Source organism: Homo sapiens, chromosome 5 (assembly GCF_000001405.40).
Source record: "Homo sapiens chromosome 5, GRCh38.p14 Primary Assembly".
NCBI lineage: Eukaryota > Metazoa > Chordata > Mammalia > Primates > Hominidae > Homo > Homo sapiens.
Window position 1 is genome coordinate 76,839,299 of NC_000005.10, and position 21,938 is coordinate 76,861,236.

The window sequence follows — 21,938 nt, forward strand, 5'->3', positions numbered from 1 at the left end:
ATCCTTCATCCTGTGAAAGGAAAATAAATCCTGTGGCCCCAAAATCACTAAGCTAATGGGAAAAGTCAAGCTGGGAACCGCTTAGGGCAAACCTGCCTCTCCTATTCAAAGTTACCCCTCTGCTCACTGAGACAAATGCATATCTGGGCCGGGTGCGGTGGCTCATACCTGTAATCCCAGCATTTTGGCAGGCCGAGGTGGGCGGATCACGAGGTCAAGAGATCGAGACCATCCTGGTCAGGAGTTCGAGACCAGCCTGGCCAACAAGGTGAAACTCCGTCTCTACTAAAAATACAAAAAAAATTAGCCGGGCATGCTGCTGGGTGCCTGTAGTCCCAGCTACTTGGGAGGCTGAGGCAGGAACATCGCTTGAACCCAGGAGGCGGAAGTTGCAGTGAGCTGAGATTGCGCCACTGTACTCCAGCCTGGGTGACAGAGCAAGACTCCATCTCAAAAAAAAAAAAAAAAAAAAAAAAGCATATCTGATTGCCTCCTTTCTAGAGGCTAATCAGAAACTCGAAAGAATGCAACTGTTTGTCTCTCATCTACCTATGACCTGGAAGCCCCCTCCCCGCTTCAAGTTGTCCTGCCTTTCCAGACCGAACCAATGTTCATCTTACATACGTTGATTGATGTCTCATGTGTCTCTAAAATGTGTAAAACCAAACTGCTCTGAGCACTGTGAACCCTAAACATTTGAGACAGTTCTCAGTTAATTTAGAAAGTTTATTTTGCCAAGGTTGACGCATGCCTGTGACACTGCCTCAGGAAATTCTGACGACATGTGCCCAAGGTGATCAGGGCACAGCTTGGTTTTACACATTTTAGGGAGACATGAAACATCAATATATGTAAAATGTACATTGGTTTGGTCTGGAAAGGCGGGATAACTTGAAGCAAAGACCAGAAAAGCAGGGAAGGGACTTCCAGGTCACAGATAGGTGAGAGACAAACTCTCTTGCATTCTTTTGAGTTTCTTCCTTTCCAAAGAAGGCAATCAGATATGCATTTATCTCAGTGAGTGGAGGTTGACTTTGAATAGAACGGGAGGCAGGTTCGCCCTGTGCAGTTTCCAGTTTGACTTTTAACTTTTAGCGCAGTGATTTTGGGGGCCCAAGATATTTTCCTTTCACACCACCTTGGGCACATGTCGTCAGGACCTCCAGAGGCTGTGTCACGGGCATGTGTCCTCAACCTTAGCAAAATAAACTTTCTAAATTAACTGAGACCTGTCTCAAATATTCAGGGTTCACAATTCCACAAACATTCATTGCAACATTACTGCATTATTAAATGCAAATAATTAAATTAGGATTTCCACCTTAACAGCTATCCAGTTGAGGGGTTGATGTTCTCTCAGTGGAATACATCAATATTTAAAAAAAAAACACAAACCCCAGAAACCTAACCCTCCAGTATATGGGCTTCTCAAAAGCCTTTAAAGCATAGCTTATTCCAGAGCTAGATCCTGAGACAGGCAGAAAGTCAAAGTAAATGTGAAGGACAAGAAGTTTCCAGAAGGGCCACTACTATGGCTTACCCCCCTAACCACTGCTTTGTTTACACCATTGCTTGAGCCCAGCAGTTCAAGGCTGCAGTGAGCCACGAAGCCATGATCACACTAGTGAGTAGCTACTACACCCCACCCTGAGGAACATAGTGAGACCTCATCTCTAAAAAATGAAAAATAAATAAAAAGAAGAAGAACTGAATAGAATAGAATAGATGGCAAATAGGCATATTGAAACATAAAAGATGCTTAGCCTTAGTCATTAGAAAAATGCAAATTAAAAAACCCATACCTATTGAGTAGCTAAAATAAATAAGTAAATCTGAGAGTATAAGTATATAATGAGAAATGAACACCCTCCCTACCCACCACATGGGAACCCGTTTATACGCCCTCTGTATATTCTTTGAGATGTTTTTATGCATGTATAAACATGTATACATGCTTTTTAAAAATAAAAGGAGTTACACCATGTATTAGTTAAATTACACATAAATTACCTCAAAATTTAGTGTCTTAAGACAGTCATAAACATTTACTAACTTTCACAGTTTCTGTGGGTTATGAATTCAGGAGCAGTTTAGCCCAATGGTTCTGGCTTAGGATCTCATGAGGTACCAGGTAAGATACTGGCTGGAGCTGCTGCTAGCTGAAGATGTGACGGGGGCTGGAGGATCCTCCACAGGGCTGGCATGTTGGTGGCAGAAAGCTTCAGTTCCCCTCCACGTGGGCCTCTTCACAGGGCTGTTGGACTGACCTCATAACATGAAGATTGGTGTTCCCCAAAATGAGTGATCCATGAGAACAAGGGGAAAGCCACAATGCCTTTCATTACTTAGCTTCAGAGGTCACACACCATCACCTCCACCATGCTAGCTCCAATTGCTTGGTCAGACAAGCTAGCTCCAATTCAATCTGGGAGAAGACTACCTAGCATAAACACCAGGAGGCGAGGATCACTGGGGATTACATGGGAGGCTGGTTTCTGCATTATATACGTGAACACATCTTGGATATGATTGCCATGTTAGCATTTACAGATTGACCTCATTATTTTAAATGGCTATCTCCATGTGCACATATACCATAATTTATGGAATCCAGCTTATGCTATACTTATATTGCTATATAAATAATATTTGAGTGGAAATCTGTACATACTTGTTAATTCAATATTCTTCCACCACGCACTATGTGCCAAGTCATCTTCTAGGCAGTAAGGAATATTGTGGAGAACAAAATAGACAAGAACTCTATTCTCATGGAGTTTACTTTCTGATTGGAGAAAGACTGAAAACAAAACAAAATATCCAATAGTAGTAAATGCTAAGAGTATTTTATATTGGGAGATCAGGGAAGGTTTCTAAGGAGGTGAAATTTAAGTGGCAATGTAAAGGGCAGGAGAGCCAGCCATGGGAGGATCCCAAGCAAGGGCTTTATGGGAATGAGTAAGGGAAGGAAGAGTATGAGCAAGTAGGCTGGAGAGAGGCAAGAGCTTGATAACTGAAGGGAACTGTAAGGGAGTAAGGAGCTTGATTTTCTTTCTACATGGGATGCCATAGGTTTGTTTTACTGCCCATTTAAAAAATCACTGGTGGCCGGGCGCGGTGGCTCACGCCTTTAATCCCAGCACTTTGGGAGGCCAAGGCAGGCGGATCACGAGGTCAGGAGTTCAAGACCTGCCTGATCAACATGGTGAAAGCCCGTCTCTACTAAAAATACAAAAATTAGCTGGGCGTGGTGGTGTGCACCTGTAATCCCAGCTACTCAAGAGGCTGAGGCAGGAGAATCGCTTGAACCCGGGAGGCGGAGGTTGCAGTAAGCTGAGATCATGCCACTGCACTCCAGCCTGGGTGACAGAGCGAGACTCCCTCTCAAAAAAAGAAAAAAATCACTGGCTATTATGTGGAATAGGGATTATAGAAGGACAAGATGAGAAAGCAAGAACAATTTGGAGTAATCCAAGCAAGAGGTGATGTTGGCTTGAATTAGGGTGGTGCTAACAGAGAGGGAGAGAAGAAGCCTAAAGTCAACAGATGTGAAAAGAAGAGGAATCAAAGCTTGTGCCTAGAGTTTCTGCTTGATGGATAATGGTGAAATAATTAGGAGTGAGCATGTTTGGAGGTTGAAAGTTAAGAGTTCTGTTTTGACCATGGCATCTTGAGATTGAGATGCCTGTTAGACATCCAAGCAGCATTGTTGAGTAGGAGGTTGGGTGCGGTGGCTTACACCTGTAATCCTAGCACTTTGGGAGGCTGAGGTGGGAGGATCATGTGAGCTCAAGAGTTTGAGATCAGCCTGGGCTACGTGGCAAAACCCTATCTCTACAAAAGATAAAAATAATTAGCCCAGTGTGGTGGCATGCGCTTGTGGTCCCAGTGTTACTCAGGAGGCTGAGGTGGGAGGATTGCTTGAACCCAGGAGGCAGAGGTTTCAGTGAGCTGAGATCGTGCCACTGCACTCCAGCCTGGGCAACAGCGCGAGAAAAAAAAAAAAAAAGAACTTGGTGAGGTTACCTATGTTACTAGAAAGGGGTCCAGATCCAGATCCCAAGAGAGTTTTCTTGGATCTCACTCAAGAAAGAACTCAGGGCGAGTCGATAAAGTGAAAGCAAGTTGATTAGGAAAGTGAAGGAATAAAAGAATGGCTACTCTGCAGACAGCAGCCCCCATAGCTGGTGGTTGCCCATTTTTATGGTTATTTCTTGATGATATGTTAAACAAGGGGTGGATTGTTCATGCCTCCCCATTTTAGACCATATAGGGTAACTTCCTGATGTTGCCATGGCATTTGTAAACTGTCATGGTGCTCGTGGGTGTGTAGCGGTGAGGATAACCAGAGGTCACTCTCGTGGCCATCCGGTTTTGGTGGGTTTTAGCCGGCTTCTTCACTGCAAACTGTTTTATCAGTAAGGTCTTTATGACCTGTATCTTTTTTTTTTTTTTTTGAGATGGAGTTTCGTTCTTTTTGCCCAGGCTGGAGTGCAGTGGCATGATTTCGGCTCACTGCAACCTCCACCTCCTGGTTCAAGCCATTCTCCTGCCTCAGCCTCCTGAGTAGCTGGAATTACAGGCATGCATCACCACACCCGGCAATTTTTTTGTATTTTTAGTAGAGACGGGGTTTTGCCATGTTGGTCAGGCTGGTCTCGAACTCCTGACCTCAGGTGATCCACCCGCCTCGGCCTCCCAGAGTGCTGGGATTACAGGTGTGAGCCACCACACCAGGCCATGACCTGTATCTTGTGCTGACCTCCTACCTCATCTTGTGACTTAGAGTGCCTGTCTGGGAATGCAGCCCAGTAGTGTTCAGCCTTATTTTACCCAGCTCCTATTCAAGGGTTGCTCTGGTTCAAATGTCTCTGACACCTAGTGGAGAGAATATAGATGAAGAAAAGAGGGCCCTGGACAGAGGCCTTCAGCATGTAGACTCTTTTGAGCAGAGGAAGGGCCAGTAAGAGACACTGAGAAGGACCAGCCACTATGGCAAGAAGAAAGTCCAGCAAATATGCTGTCAGGAAAGCCAAGGGCATAAAGGACAGAGTAATCAATCATGGTGAAAATTACTAAGAAGCCAAGTGAGATATGAACAGAGGAGTGACTACCTGAGCTTGCCCTTGGAGAATGTTGGTGACCTTGGCAAGACCACCCTCTCAGTGATGTGATGGGGAAAGGAAGCCAGAATAGTGTGTTCAAGAAAGAATTAGAAGGAAGGAAGTCCACACAATGACAGTGACAATCCCTTACAGCAATTTTAATTGTGAAAGGGAGCAGGGGAATGCGGAGGCAAGAAAGGCAATGAGAGTCATTCAGCAGAGAGGGAGACAGTGTGTCTTTGCATGTATTGTATTTCTATAAGTGAAGGTGGAAGGATCTCTTGAGCCCAGGAGTTCAAGGCCAGCCTGGGCAATGTGGCAAGACCCTATCGCACAATAACAACAACAAAAGTAGCCAGGGGAGGTGCTGTAAACATATTGTCTCAGCTACTTGGGAGGCTGAGGCAGGACGATCGCTTGAGCCCAGGAGTTAAAGGCTGTAGTGAGCTGTGATTGCACCACTGCACTCCAGCCTGGGCAACAGAGAGAGACTCTGTCCAAAAATAAAAATAAAAAAATAAGAAGTGGAACTTCTGGGTCAAAGGATACATGTAATTTTGATTGTGGTAAGTTGCCCTCCTAAGGTGTTGCACCAGTTACACACTTGCCAAAAATGTGTGTCTGTTTATCTAGAGTGTTGTAAACACCACATTTTCATGGTCTTTTATTTGCCAGTCTGAACTTCACAAATTTTGAGTGTAATGATAATGCAGGACCATAAGCATCTAGGAAGAAATAGAGCTTTGCTTTCTTCCTTTATTTACTGTTGGGAACAGGTCCCCCAAAATCTGGCCATAAACTGGCTCCAAAACTGGCCATAAACAAAATCTCTGCAGCACTGTGACATGTTCATGCTGGCCATAACGCCCACGATGGAAGGTTGTGAGTTTACTGGAATGAGTGCAAGGAACACCTGGCCCTCCCAGGGCGGAAAACTGCTTAAAGGCGTTCTTAAACCACAAACAATAGCCTGAGCGATCAGTGCCTTAAGGACATGCTCCTGCTGCAGATAACTAGCCAGACCCACCCCTTTATTTCAGCCCATCCCTTCGTGTCCCATAAGGGATACTTTTAGTTAATCCCATTTCCCATAAGGGATACTTTTAGTTAATCGAATATCTATAGAAACAATGTTAATGACTGGCTTGCTGTTAATAAATACGTGGGTAAATCTCTGTTCGGGGCTCTCAGCTCTGAAGGCTGTGAGACCCCTGATTTCCCACTTCACACCTCTATATTTCTGTGTGTGTGTCTTTAATTCCTCTAGTGCCACTGGGTTAGGGTCTCCTTGACTGAGCTGGTCTCGGCAATTTACTTTGTATTTTAGGCATATTTTCCCCCTGCTATTCCTCACCACCAAGGCAGTGACCCTCAAAAGGTACGGCCTTGCGGGAAGTTGGTCCCATTTCTCTTTGTATTAGCTCTGAGAGGAAACCTAAGCTATTCTTCTAGGTGGGCTGCAGAAAACTTCTGTGCCGTGTGGAACATCCTTTGCTCTGATGAGTTTTCTATCATTCTTTTTTGGAGAACATGAGGGCATGGCAGCAGCCACTACAGCAGGAGCCTGGAGTCCCAGCTCTGGGCCCTAGCCAGCTCACCTGCATATGAGGGATTAACTCTCAACACTGCTGGATCTGGCTCAGGTCTGAGTTCCTCACCTCAGCTCCACCATGTAGCCTGGGGTGAATGGCAAACCCATGGAAAGCGTTTAATTATAGCTTCTATGTACCATCGGGTAGACTCAATTACCTAATCCCGAGAAAGCAGTTTTAGCCAAGCCTTATGTTGTGAACTCTTTCAGAGGCCACCTGGGCTCTTGCAGGGGAACTGTGTCTAGTTCTTACCAGTGGAAGTCAGACTTTTTTCTTTAACCAGAGATTTGTGTAAATGGGAGACTTTGTTAAAAATATAACAGATTTATCAGAATTTATGGCTTAAAAAATTGCAGCACAGGGAGGGAAATGATGGTGTTTATTCTAGTGACCATTTCTGTCCATTAAAACTGAAATTCTTTTTTTTTAATCTTTTTAAAAACTGTGTTTTTTTTTTTGAGACAGAATCTCGCTCTGTTGCCCAGGCTGGAGTGCAGTGGTATGATCTTGGTTCACTGCAGCCTCTGCCTCCTGAGTTCAAGTAATTCTCCTGCCTCAGCTTCCCTAGTAGCTGGGATTACAGGTTTCCGCTACCACACCTGGCTAATTTTTGTATTTTTAGTAGAGACGGGGTTTCACCATGTTGGCCAGGCTGGTCTTGAACTCCTGACCTCAAGTGATCCACCTACCTCGCTCTCCCAAAGTGCTGGCATTAGAGGCATAGGCCACGGTGCCCAGCCTAAAAACTTTATGTTTGTTTGTTTATTTTATTTTATTTATTTATGTATTTTTCTGAGAGAGAATCTTGCTCTGTCTCCCAGGCTGGAGTGCAGTGGTGCCATCTTGGCTCACTGCAACCTCGGCCTCCTGGGTTCAAGCGATTCTCCTGCCTTATCCTCCCAAGTAGCTGGGATTACAGGCGCCCACCACCACGCCTGGCTAATTTTTGTATTTTTGGTAAAGACTGGGTTTCACCATGTTGGCCAGGCTGCTCTAGAATTCCTGACCTCAAGTGATCCGCCCACCTCGGCCTCCCAAAGTGCTGGGATTACAGGTGTGAGCCACTGCGCCCAGCCCTAAAAACTTTATTATGGAGGATTTTATACCCATACAGAATTAGGATTGTATAGGGAAACTCTATGTCTCCATCACTCAGGCCCAATATCCATCAACCTTTGGTCAATTCTGCCCCATCCTCCTCCCCATCCCGTTTATTCTGAAGCAAATCTCAGGAATCATATTATTTCACTCGTAAATGTTTCAGTGTCTAAGACAAGAAATTTAAAAATCATACCTCAAAAAATTTCTTAATATCAGATATCCTGTCAGTGTTCAAATTTCTACTCATCTCAATTATCATAAGTGGTTTCTTTTTTTAAAAAATCAGAATCTAAATAAAGCTCAGACATTGCAATTGGTTGATGACTTTTAAATCTCTTAATTTATCTCCACCCTCACCACTTGCTACTTACTTGTTGAAGAAACCAGGTTGTTTGTAGATTTTCCCCATAGTCTGGATTTTGCTGATTGCATCCAGAACTGGAAAGTGTGAAAGCATATTAGAGGAAATGAAAAGGCTCTGCCGATCGAGAACTCTGGTTATACAACTGTTCACAAGCACTTAGCAGGAACAACGAGGAATGCTAAAATTCTTATCACTGTGCCCTCTTATGTGGTGCCTGCCTCATGGTGATCTTAATGTTCTCCTAAAGATAGGGAAGAACAGGACCCTAGACCACAGTCTTGTGCTTGGGAGCTACACTTGGACAGGAATCACCACCCAAAACTGGCAATGCAGACAGATTACATGTGTTTTCTTCCGCAGATTTGTTCTGATCTCCCCAGACATCCGTCATTCTATAATCCTACAGTTTGGACCTTCTTAGTTTTCACTTTCAGGTGGGAAAGACTAGTAATTAATTAATTAATTAATTAATGCTTTTATAGAGACAGGGTCTGGCTCTGTCACCTAGGCTGGAGAGTAGTGGTTGCAATCACAGCTCACTGCAGCCTCAAACTCCTGGGCTGAAGTGATACTCTCAACCCCAGCCTCCTGAGTAGCTGGAACCACAGGTGTGCACCACCATGCCCAGCTAATTTTTAAAAAAAAATTTGTAGAGATGGTGTCTCCCTATGTTGCCCAGGCTGTGTTGAACTCTTGGGCTCAAGTGATCCTCCCACCTCTGCCTCCCAAAGTGCTGGGATTACAGGCTTGAGGCACAGCACCCAGTCAAGAGGTTTTTGGGTTTTGTTTGTTTTTTGAGACGGAGTCTCACTCTTGCCCAGGCTGGAGTGCAGTGGAACAATCTTGGCTCACTGCAACCTCTGCCTCCCGGATTCAAACAATTCTCCTGCCTCAGCCTCCCGAGTAGCTGGGATTACAGGCGCACACCACCATACCTGGCCAAGAGTAGTTATTTTGGAAAGAGAGACGTTTCAATCTTCAGAACATATCTTTGGCCGGGTGCGGTGGCTGGTGCCTGTAATCCCAGCACTCTGGGAAGCCAGGCTGGGAGGATCACTTGAGCCCAGGAGTTCAAGACTAGACTGGGCAAGCAACATGGTGAAACCCCATCTCTACAAAAAAATACAAGTATTAGCCAGGTTGTGGTGGCATACCCTGCAGTCCTAGCTATTTGGGAGGCTGAAGTGGGAGGATCACTTGAGCCTGGGAGGTTGAGGTTGCAGAGAGCTGTGATTGTGTCTCTGTACTCTACCCTAGGCAATGGAGCAAGACTCTGTCTCCAAAAAAAAAAAAAAAAAATTTATCTTTGAATTCTTTCTTTCAATATATTGTTATCTGTATTTCTGTACTGAGTGCTGTGCTTCTTGACCTGTCTCTGCCCTTTTCTGTGTATTTATTTATTTAATTGACAAGTAAAAATTGTATATATTATGGTATACAAATACAGCTTGATGTTTTAATTTATGTATACATTGTGGAATTATTAAGTCAAGCTATTTGACTTAATTGCCCCATATACTTGTCATTTTTTGGGGGTGATAAAGACACTTAACATCTACTGTCTTAGCAATTTTCGATACACGATATATTGTTATTAACTATAGATAGCATGCTGTACAATGGGAGCTCTTAAACTTATTCCTCCTGGGCCAGGCGCAGTGTCTCACGCCTATAATCCCAGCACATTGGGAGGCCAAGGTGGGCGGATCACTTGAGGTCAGGAATTCAAGACCAGCCTCACCAACATGGTGAAACCCCATCTCTACTGAAAATACAAAAATTAGCCAGGCTTAGTGGTGGGCGCTTGTAATCTCAGCTACTTGGGAGGCTGAGGCAGAAGCTTGAACCAGGGAGGTGGAGGTTGCAGTGAGCTGAGATGATGCCACTGCACTCCAGCCTGGGTGACAGAGCAAGACTCTGTCTCAAAAAAAAAAAAGAAAAAAAGAAATGCTGTGAGGAATTATTAGCCATGAAGCTTCAGCAGGCAGGTTAGGTAGCTTTTCCAGTCACATACTGGTGAAGTAAGGATTTGAACCCCAAGACTCTGGTGCCAGAGTAATTGCTCTTCACCATGAGGAGGCACCAGTGGGGGAGTGTTGGATCACAAGCAGTTTCTTTTTCTTTTTTTTTTGTTTTTTTGAGACGGAATCTGGCTCTGTCACCTAGTCTGGAGGGCAGCGGCGAGCTCAGCTCACTACAACCTCTGCCTCTCAGGTTCAAGCGTTCTCCTGCTTCAGCCTCACGAGTAGCTGGAATTACAGGCGCCCGCCACCATGCCTGGCTAATTTTTATATTTTTAGTAGAGATGGGGTTTCGCCACGTTGACCAGGCTGGTCTCAAACTCCTGACCGCAAGTGATCCACCCACCTCAGCCTCTCAAAGTGCTGGGATTAGAGGCATGAGCCACTGCACCCAGCGCAATTTCGTTAGAGACTTGGTGCCTTCCCATTTCTTTTACTCAGCAATATACCAGCTTTAGGTCCTAAATTAAACCTCTTCCTGCTTTCCCACCTGATGAAGAAACGTGCCTGCAGTGTGGTGAGTCTGGACCACGCAGACTCAGAACAGCACTACTCACAGCAGGGCCTCTTGCTCGCTCTAGCTGCTGGGAGGAAAACGGCTTGCTAATCTCCACGCCCAGAAATTCAGACAAGAGCATTCTCCTTATCTCATCTGCACAGGAAGCAGGTCTAAGGTAAAAGATTATTTTTGTGGAAGATTCTTGCTTTTCAGTCTAGTGGTTGAAGTGTGAGCCTGGCAGGCGTTGGATTAGAGAGGGCAACAAGAGTGGAGGTTGTGAGGTGGGGGGTTGCCTTGGGGCTTCCACTCTAAAATGTGGCCTTACCTTGGCCACAAAGGGGTCGGGGGGGTGGGGGAGAGAGAGAGAGAGAGAGAGAGGGAGAGAGCAGCCTGATCATAGCTCGGAGCGTAGAGGTTCTGGTAAGTTCCTTGCCCTAAAGAACACTTAGTTCATTCTGGCTCCTTTCCTGGTGACCATCCTGGCTTCCTGCTTGGCCTTCACCTCACCTTGAGAAATTCAAGTTTCATGTTCTTGTCCAGGCCAAAGACCCAGAAGAACCTTCAAGGTGAGGCTTGGCCCCTTAGATCCACGCCGTGATTTCGCTTCTTTTTCCTGAAGCCTGCACAGATGCCAGTGTAAGCCCACTCCCAGGAAGTCACAGCAGTGGTCTATGCTCCTCCTCTTCACACTGGCCAGTGCTGGGCATGCCTGGACAATCAGCCCTGGAATGGCTGCTCTCAGCCTACAGAAGAAGAGAGGGAAGAGGGATGGAGGGGCTGGGGAGAAGTTGGTGAGAGGACACAAAATTTGGGTTAGACAGAGAAATAAAGTTTTTTTTGTTTTTTGTTTTTTTCTGAGATGGAGTTTCACTCTGTCACCCAGGCTGGAGTGCAGTGGTGTGATCTCAGCTCACTGCAACCTCCACCTCCCACTTGGCTTCCCAAAGTGCTGCGATTACAGGCATGAGCCACCGCTCCCCAGCCTCCTCATGGGATTTTTGAGGATGACATAAAGGAATACATTTAAACTGCCTAGAAGGGTGCTTGGCCCAGAGTATGTGCTAATTAACGTTGGCTACTATTATTTTCCTTCAACCCAGTGCCGGTGCAGGTCTAGAGGAAAGCATGAGGTGATACAGGGGCACCCAGAGGCGGAGTGCTCCCAGGAGCTGAGGGGCATCGGAGGCTTCCCTGGAGGACTGGCACCTGAGCAGAGGAATGGGCAGCACAGTGGCAGTGCCACGTGTGCGGCACAGATGGTGCAGAGGGGATGGGTGGGCACACTGCGGGGAGTTTAGATTTAGCCAGGGGATGGCAGGGCCTGTCCAGGAGGTTAAGTGAGGAGCTCAGGTGTGCCTCCCAGCAGGCAGGGGAGGCTAATTTTGAAGAAGAGCAAAGTAGGTGCAGGAGGTGAGTTGGGATCTCATGCAGTAATTCAGGCCAGAAGTGACAAGGGCCTGAACTATGGCGCTAGGGTTGAGGAGGAAGGAACAGAGAGTGAGGAGATACAACCTGGCAACTGATTGCATGAGAGAGAGAGAGGGGCCAGGAATAGCATCATACTCAGGTTTCTGGCCATGCAGTTGGGTGAATGAGGGTATTGCTGTTGACTGGAGCAGCAAAAAAAGGGGATCCCCTCTGGGGTAGAGGAAGAAGGGAGCAGGGGATTGGAAAATGCCAAAATCAGTTTGCTGTGGTTTGGAATCTGAGACTCTGATGTGTTACCTAAGTGGAGATGTCCTGTGGTCAGTTTATTTATACTCTCCTGGGTCCTAGGTAGGATTTAAGGTGACATATGAAGATAACACAAAGTAGAGTAAGATATTATAAATTAAGTAGGAGAGAAAGCAGACAGAAAAGAACGAGATGTAAAGTAGAGGAAGGAATGAGGTTAAATATAAAGTACACAGCAGAAAGCAGAAGTCACAAGCTGGCCAGCATTCGCTGAATTTCCTGTTTGAGTTGTCCTGCAGTCTTATGTTTGTCTGTTGGGTTTTGGTGGGTTTTGTTTGTTTGTCTTGAGTTGCAGTCTTAAAATCCAGGAATTCTTAAAAATTAAAATTTCTCACTTTTTCTTTTAAAAAAAAAAAAAGTGAAGTTCTGGGAGCTCTGAGCCATATCCCATCTGGCAACGATGATCTGGGTCTGAGAAGCAGTCTCGCCTTCTTGGGAGAGCACGGGCTCTCCAATTTCCCACTGGCCTCCACTCCACTTGGCTGTCTGGCACTGAAGCAGTGTCGGTCCTCTTATCAGCATGGACTATTTCTCTGAACTCACCCTTCTATCAAATGTAATAAAAAAAATTAGTCAAGATATTTTTTTTTTCTTAGTCTCAATTTTGCCTGTTTACACTAGCAGCCTGGCCGTGGAAGCAGGCTGATGCTCCCTGTTCACAACTGCTTTTCATTCTGCTTAGTGCCTCTGTTGTATCTGTTGTTAAATAGTTTGGGCTGGGTGTAATGGCTCACACCTGTAACCCCAGTACTTTGGGAAGCTGAGGTGGGTGGATTGCTTGAGGCCAAAGTTTGAGAATAGCCTGGCCAACATGGTGAAAACCCATCTCTACTAAAATACAAAAAAATAGCCAGGAATGGTGGTGCACACCTGTAATCCCAGCTACTCAGGAGGCTAAGGCACAAGAATTGCTTAAACCCAGGAGGCGGAGGTTGCAGTGAGCTGAGATCCCGCTACTGCACTGCACTCCAGCCTGGGTGACAGAGTGAGACTCTGTCTCAAAAAACAAACAAACAAACAAAAAACAGCAAAGTTTGAACATGACCCGGCTGTAGGTATTTGAGTTTGCAGCATGTGGTAAAATCAAGTATTCGGCCTAGGTGGCTCATGAACTTGATTCTAGGCTTTCTAGCAGCCAAAGAAAAAGAGGATACATTATCTGTCTTATCCTATCTTATCAGCTGGGCTATTCATAGTATCCATGGGATGACTGCTTAGGCAAGTCAGGACTCTTCTCAACACAAGAACCAGAGCAACATTTTTCCCCTGAGAGTCTTCATAGAGAGGGAATGAAAAGTTCAAACAACATTCATCCCAGAGTCGATTCAAGTCTAAGGCTGATGATTCTAGCAGCTTCAAGCAGCATTTCCCTTGAAGCACAGCTGCTTAAACAATTCTAGGAGGGGCCAATGTGATACAGTTCAGACACCTAATTTTCTACTGATCTGGCTATATTAATTTCAGAAACTTTAGAAAAATCTAGAGAAATGCCTGGACTCCCTCCAAATAATCCTCCATAGATGGTCTGAGGATGTGATGCCTGGAATTGCAGCAGTCATCTTGTGACTGTGCGGGGACAAGTCAGAGATGAGAGCTGGCACACAGAAGATAGGGAAGAAGAAAGATAGATCTTGGGCCCTTGATAGCATTGACAAAACACTGAAACAACCAACTTTTATAGTAAGAGATAGCAAATTACCTTATTAAGCTTGAACTACTTTTATTTGCTTATTCTATTACTTGCTAATATGGTTTGGATCTGTATCCCCACCAAATCTCATGTCAAATTGTAATCCCCAGGCCGGATGTGTTGGCTCCCATCTGTAATCCCAGCACTTTGGGAGGCTGAGGCAGGCAGATCATCTGAGGTCAGGAGTTCAAGATCAGCCTGGCCAACAAGGTGAAACCTTGTCTCTAGTAAAAACACAAAAAATTAGCCAGGTGTGATGGTGCACACCTGTAGTCCCAGCTACTGGGGAGGCTGAGGCAGGATAATTGCTTGAACCCAGGAGGCAGAGATTGCAGTCAGCTGAGATAGTGCCACTGCACTCCAGCCTGGGTGACAGTGCAAGACTCCATCTTAAAAAAAAAAAAAAAGAAATTGTAATCCCCAGGGTTGGAGTGGGGCTTGGTGGGAGGTGACTGGATTATGGAGGTGTAGTTCTCATGAATGGGTTAGCACCATCCCCTTGGTGCTGTTCTCATGATAGTGAGTAAGTGAGGTAGCGTGAGATCTGGTTGTTTGAAAGATCTTTCTTTCTTCCTCCTGCTCTGGCCATGTAAGATGTGCCTGCTTCCCCTTTGCCTTCTGCCATGATCGAAAGTTTCCTGAGGCCTCCCCAGAAGCCAAGCAGATGCTGCTATGCTTCCTGTACGGCCTGTGGAACTGTGAGCCCATTAAACCTCTTTTCTTTGTAAATTACCTAGTCTCAAGTATTTCTTTATAGTAGTATGAGAATGGACTAATACAGAAAAATAGTACCAAGGAGTGGGGCATTGCTGTAAAGAGACCCAAAAATGTGAAAGCGACTTTGGAACTGGGTAACGGGCACAGGTTGGAAGAGTCTGGAGGGCTCAGAGGACAACAGAAAGATGAGGGAAAGTTTGGAACTTCCTAGAGACTTGTTGAATGGTAGTGACCAAAATGCTGATAGTAATATGGACAGGGAAGGCCAGGCGGAGATGAGGAACTTATTGGGAACTGGAGCAAAGGTCACTTTTGTTGTGCATTTATCAAAGAAGTTGGAGGCATTGTACCCCTGCCCTAGAGATCTGTGGAGCTTTGAACTTGAGAGTGATGATTTAGGGTATCTGACAGAAGAAATTTCTAAGCAGCAAAGCATTCAAGATATGGACTGGCTGCTTCTAACAGCCTATGCCCGTTACAGGAGCAAAGAAATGACCAGAAACTGGAACTTATATTTAAAAGGGACACAGAGTGTAAAAGTTTGGAAAATTTGCAGCCTAGCCATGTGTTAAAAAAGAAAAGCCCTTTTTCAGGGGAAGGATTCAGGCAGGCTGCAGAAATTTGCATAACTGAAAGGAAGGCAAATGCTGATAGCCAAGACAATGGGAAAAGGCCTCAAAGGTATTTCAGATATCTTCCAGGCAGCCCCTCCAATCACAGGCCCAAAGGCCTAGGAGGGAAGAATGGTTTCATGGGCCAGGCCCCAGGGCCCCATCACCTACCCTGTGTAAGCAGGCTTGGGACACTGCTTCTTGCATCTCAGCCATTCCAGTTCCAGCTCCAGTTCCAGCCATGGCTCAAAGTTCCTGCCACTTCAAAGGTTGCAAGCTGTAAGCCTTGGTGGTTTCCACATGGTGTTAAGCCTGTGAGTGCACAGAATGCAAAAGTTGAGGCTTGGAAGCCTCTGCACAGATTTGAAAGGATGTATGGCAAAGCCTGTGTGTCCAGGCAGAAGACTGCCCCAGGAATGGAGCCTTCATAGAGAACGTCTGCAAAGGCAGTGTGGAGGGGAAATGTGGGGTTGTAGCCCCCACACAGAGTCCCCGTTGGGGCATTGCCTAGTAGAGCTATGAGAAGAGGGCCATTGTCCTCCAGACCCCAGAATGGTAAATACAAGGACAGCTTGTACCTTGTGCTTGGAAAAGCTGCAGGCACTCAATGCCAGCCCGTGAAAACAGATGCCAGCCTGTGAAAACAGATGCTGTACCCTGCAAAGCTTCAGAGGCCAAGCTGCCCAAGGCCTTCGGAGTCCACCCCTTGCAGCAGTGTGCCCTGAGACTTCATGTGAGACATGAAGTCAAAAGAGATTATTTTGGAGCTTTAAAATATTTAATGACTGCCCTGCTGGGTTTCAGACTTGTGTGGGGCCTCTGGCCTCTTTTTGGGGGCTGATTTCTCCCTTTTGGAACAGGAGTATTTACCTAATATCTATACCCCCAGTTGTATCTTGGAAGTAACTAACTTGTTTTGATTTTACAGGCTTATTTGTAGAAGGGAGTTGCCTTGTCTCAGATGAGATTTTGGACTTTGGACTTTGGACTTTTGAGTTAATGCTGGAATGAGTTAAGACTTTGGGGGACTGTTGAGAAGGGATGATTGTATTTTGCAGTGTGAGAAGGACATGAGATTTGGAGTAGCCAGAATGATATGGTTTGGATCTGTGTCCCCATCAAATCTCATGTTGAATTGTAATCCCCACCATTGGAGGTGGGGCCTGGTGGAAGGTGATTGGATCATGGGGGTGGAGTTCTCATGAATGGGTTAACATCATCCCCAAGGTGCTGTTCTCATGAAAGTGAGTGAATGAGCTAGCATGAGATCTGGTTGTTCAAAAGTATGTGGCACCTCTCCCCTCTCTTTCTTCCTCCTCCTTCCTCCTCCTCCGGCCACATAAGATGTGTCTGTTTCCCCTTTGCCTTCTGCCATGACTGAGCATTTCCTGAGGCCTTCTGAGAAGCAGAAGCTGCTTGCTTCCTGTACAGCCTGTGAAACTGTGAGCCAATTAACCTTCTTTACTTTTTTGTTTTTGAGATGGAGTCTTGCTCTTTCACCCAGGCTGGAGTGCAGTGGCATGATATTGGCTCACTGAAACCTCTGCACCCCCTACCTCCAAATTCAAGCGATTCTCCTGCGTCAGCTTCTTGAGTAGCTGGGACTACAGGTGCATGGCACCACACCTGGCCAATGTTTGTATTTTTAGTAGAGATGGGGTTTTGCCATGTTGGCCAGGCTGGTCTCAAACTCCTGACCTCAGGCGATCCACCTGCCTCAGCCTCCCAAAGTGCTGGGATTAAAGGCATGAGCCACCAAACCCGGCCTAACCTTCTTTTCTTACAAATTACCGAGTCTCAGGTATTTCTTTACAGTGGTGTAAGAACAGACTAATACGCTTGCTGACAAAAGTATTGTAACTAGTATAGCCATAACAAATTCAAGTCCAAAGAAAGAGAACCGGAAGCCACAAACAATTTAATTTTTTCGGAAGAGTTTAAGTATAAAAGCAAGATAGGCAATAGCTGGCTATGAAAAACACTGGCATGTTGCAAGAAGTTTTAAGTCTATGTTCCAGGTGAGTGGAAATAAAATTGTACTGATACGACTCTCAGGGGCCTTGGGTTAGGATTGGGGAAGTAGAGTTGAAAATTGAAATAATTTAATTTATAGGTAAAACCATCACAGTAGATGAAATTGCCTAGGTTGACTATGTAGAGCTCTGGAGAAGGCTCACATCCAAAGGGCAGTTCTTAAAAGATAAGGCTGTGGCTTAGTAAAGAACATGAAGGAAGAAGAATTAGAGAACTTGGAGGAAATCCAGCATAGTGAAAGGTCACAGAGGCTGGGCATGGTGGCTCATGCCTTTCCAGCACTTTGGGAGGCCAAGGCAGGCAGAACACAAGGTCAGGAGTTCAAGACCAGCCCGGCCAACATGGTGAAACCCCGTCTCTACTAAGAATACAAAAATTAGCCAGGCGTGGTGGCAGGTGCCTGTAATCCCAGCTAGTCGGGAGGCTGAGGCAGGAGAATCGCTTGACCCTGGGAGGTGGAGGTTGCAGTGAGCCGAGATTGCGCCACTGCACTCCAGCCTGGGCAACAGGCAAGACTCCATCTCAAAAAAAAGAAGAAAGAAAAGTCACAGAAACCAAGTGAATAGAGGCTTTTAGAAAGGTAGGAATAGGGAACAGTATAAAATACAGCCCAGTAATATGAGGATGCACATATCAAGTGATACCCGTGCTTCCATATATATACTCTCTGAGATGGCATTTTGTCAGAACTGTCTTGGGTAGGATTTGCCCCCACCTCCCGTCCTGCCCCCATTTTTTTTTTTTTTTTTTGGAGATGGAGTCTTGCTCCGCCACCCAGACTGGGGTGCAGTGATGAGATCTTAGCTCACTGCAAACTCCACCTCCCGGTTCAAGCAATTCTCATGCCTCAGCCACCTGAGTAGTTGGAACTACCGGCATGTGCCACTATCCCCAGCTAATTTTTGTATTTTTTTAGGAGAGACGGGGTTTTGCCATGTTGGCCAGGCTGATCTTGAACTCCTGACCTCTAGTGATCTGCCTGCCTTGGTCTCCCAAGGTGCTGGGATTACAGGTATGAGCCACCGTACCCAGCCCTATTCTTGTTTTAATAACCAAAGCTGCAGTCTTCTACAAGAAATTTCTTACCCAAGAGTTTTTAGAAGTAATTAATAAGTTTATAATAAAATGTAACTCCATGAGCTACTAGGAACTTCTTTCTTATTTGGTATTAACTACCGTTTTCCTTAGCTAACTTAAAAAGTGGCTTCTGGGAAGTTTTTATTTAAACAGAAGTGATAAAGCCTGTACTTGCTAAAAGATGGGACTGCCAGAACCAGTTTTGCTTTGTCAGTTATCTTTTGATATAAGGTATAAGGCAGGGAGCCCCTCTCCTGAGGCTATCAAAATGAGGTTCCAGAAGTGTGTGAGAGTGCAAGGGATTCCACCACACTCATTTCAGGCTTCTGCCATCTTCTCTTGCCAGTCCAGTCATGGCACCAACTGGCTTAGGGAACATGTCAAGAATGAGATGATGGGCTAAGTGCGGTGGCTCACACCTGTAATCCCAGCACTTTGGGAGGCCAAGGTAGGTGGATCACCTGAGGTCAGGAGTTTAAGACCAGCCTGGCCAACATGGTGAAACCCCGCCTCTATTAAAAATACAAAATTTAGCTGAGTGTGGTGGCACTTGCCTATAGTCCCAGATACTAGAGAGGCTGAGACAGGAGGATCGCTTGAACCTGGGAGGCAGAGATTGCAGTGAGCTGAGATCATGCCACTACATTCCAGCCGGGGCAGCAGAGTGAGACCCTGTCTCAAAAAAAAAAAAAGGGGGTGATGGGAAATGGCTGATCCAACTTAAGTCCAGCGTGCCCATCATCCATTGTCCTGCCTGGACGATGACAAGTAGGGTGGGGGCTAATTGTTACACAGTCTAAAACACAAAGTCTTCACAATTAGCTTCTAAACTTTTATTTCACAATGATAAATTATGTTTATAAATGATTAAGATTGGGAGTTTTTCAATTCACATCCCTATAGAGAGATGATACAAAAGAAACACTGTAACTTCCAAAGAGAAATATCTTAACTTGGTGGATACACAGACTATAAAATAATCTGAGGCCCTGCTGGATGGCTCAGGCCTGTAATCCCAGCACTTTGGGAGGCCCAGGCAGGCAGATCATTTGAGGTCAGGAGTTTGAGACCAGCTTGGCCAACATGGTGAAGTGTTGTCTCTACTAAAAATACAAAAAAAATTAGCCAGGCATGAGAGTGCACGCCTGTAATCCCAGCTACTCAGTAGGCTGAGGCATGAGAATCTCTTGAACCCAGTAGGCGGAGGTTCCAGTAAGCTGAGATAGCACCACTGCACTCCAGCCTGGGTGAAAGAGCGAGACAGTGTCTCAAAATAATAATAATGATGATGATAATCTGAAAGATTATTAAATTATAGCCAGAGAGTTTGCATTGGCTGGAGAGATGTAAATATTAGAACATATGATGCTCATATAATTAGGAGTGAAATCAAGATAGGAGGAATATATCCTTATTACAGGAACTTTGGAACCCAGTGTTGACTAAGATTAGGATTCGGAGCTGCTTTCACCACCACACAACTATGTCTGAACTGCTGAGAAAAGAAGGAGTTAGCACATTGAAAACAAGAGAATGCTCTTTCTAGAATCGAGGTCTTTTGGAGACAGGTAGTATTAAAGCTCCCAAGAAAAGCAAATAATGCAGGATCTTTACCCTCAGGACCGCATCCAGCTCTGTTTAAAGTGAGAAGCCTCGGCCGGGGGCAGTGGCTCACGTCTGTAATCCCAGCACTTTGGGAGGCTGAGGTGGGCAGATCACCTGAGGTCAGGAGTTTGAGACCAGCCTGGCCAACATGATGAAACCCCATCTCTACTCAAAATACAAAAAATTAGCTGGGCGTGGTGGCGGGCGCCTGTAATCCCAGCTACTTGGAAGGCTGAGGCAGAAGAATCGCTTGAACCCGGAAGTGGAGGTTGTAGTGGGCCAAGATTGCGCCACTGCACTACAGCCAGGGCAACAGAGCCAAAAAAAAAAAAAAAAAGAAATAAGAAAATGAGAAGCCTTCATCACAGGGAGGCGAACTCCCAACTCCAGGGAAACCATCTGTCTAGAATGATGCAACCACAATTAGCCTCTGCAACTCTGGGACTTTGAGTAAATTGGGTTTGTAACCTAACCCAAAACTGGCAAATCCAGTCTTTTAAGGCTAATTCTTTGTGGAGAATCTGCTGGTTTTCTGGATCAAGGGCAGGGCACTCTGGAGATTCAACCAGCTTGGCAGAAATCAGTCTTGAATGAGGTATATCAGACAGGGCTCTTAATTGCCGGCAATAAAAGTTGACTCTAGATGCTGAGGCAGAGAAAGAACTCTGGGTGGCTCACAGAACTCTTTTGAGAGCTTCAGGTGAATCTTCCAGGAATGATGTCCAAAACCACAGAACAGAATTGGCCAGATGAGAAGACCGCTCCCATTGTGGCCACCAAGCACCGAGGCTCTGCTTGACTCTGCAGCCATTGCCACTGTAGCCAGTATAGATGCTACATCGACTCCAGCAACTTTCACCTCATCTGTGGCAGAAAACAGAGGGAAAATATGGGCTTGCATCACAGATCAAATTTCAAAGACAGAAAACTTTTAGAGTTGCCATTTATGAAGGGAGCTATAGATAGAGTGAGGAGCAACTTTTCTCCTGGAGACTCTGAGATGGCCCGACCCTCTCAGCTGCTCAAGAGGGGCTGATGGGAGGCTTTTGGAGTTCTATGTTGCAAATCACAGAAACAGACTCATGACAAGTAAGCCCTAATTATTTTTAGTGAATTATGGAAATAATCAGATATGCTCCAAGCAGACATTGCTCAGCTGATGCTGAGGAGGGACAGGGTAATGCTTTGTGATGTGAGGTGATGCTTCGGAATCAGAAACAATGATTTTTGTTTAAACTGTGATAAGTTAAAAGCCTATTATTAATTCTGTTAAGATATTCAAGGAGGTCATTTGCAGAAAACTCATTGTTACTTCCCATAAATTTTCATTTCCTTGATTGTAATAAAAGGTGCTATACAAAATAGGAAACAGCGCCTTCTCCTGTAAGAGCATGACATGTGTGCTTTTTGAGAGGCCACGCATGATTTCATTACATATTAATTTCTGGAACATTCTAATAGAAGAAACGTATCTATTTACATTGCACTATTTTTCTGAAGAGTCATGTAAAAAGGATTCCAAACTTTTAAATAACAAGCTATATTAGGATCTATTGTTCCGTAACAATTTATCCCTAAATTTAGCATAAAACAGCAACAAACATTTATTGTTTCATACAGCTGTGGGACAAGAATTCAGGAGTTGTTTGGTTATGGCTCTGGCTTTTGATTCTCACAAGGTTGTGTTGCAGTCAGCTGAAGGCTTGACCCTGGCTGAGGATCCACTCCTAAGGTGGTTCATTGCGTGCCTGGTCAGTTGGTACTGGTTGCCAGCAAGAGGCCTCAGTC

General features: G+C 45.3%; 1 protein-coding gene across 5 annotated transcripts in view, besides 1 other annotated feature; it reads left to right on the plus strand.

The window, feature by feature from the left end:
• The first annotated feature begins 10,715 nt into the window (after positions 1-10,715).
• S100Z (S100 calcium binding protein Z) overlaps positions 10,716-21,938 on the plus strand; it is a 102,940-nt gene continuing 91,717 nt past the window's right edge. For all 5 annotated transcript variants that reach the window (XM_011543241.3, NM_001437779.1, NM_130772.4 and 2 more), the window contains exon 1: positions 10,716-10,857. The gene's annotated coding sequence lies outside the window, so the exon portion shown is untranslated. The remainder of the gene's footprint in view (positions 10,858-21,938) is intronic.
• Positions 16,710-16,859: an enhancer, noted in NCBI's record as "active region_22698". NCBI's record gives its function as "activates an Ori minimal core promoter by ATAC-STARR-seq in GM12878 lymphoblastoid cells {active_cell/tissue: GM12878}" and the evidence as "EXISTENCE:reporter gene assay evidence [ECO:0000049][PMID:35858748]".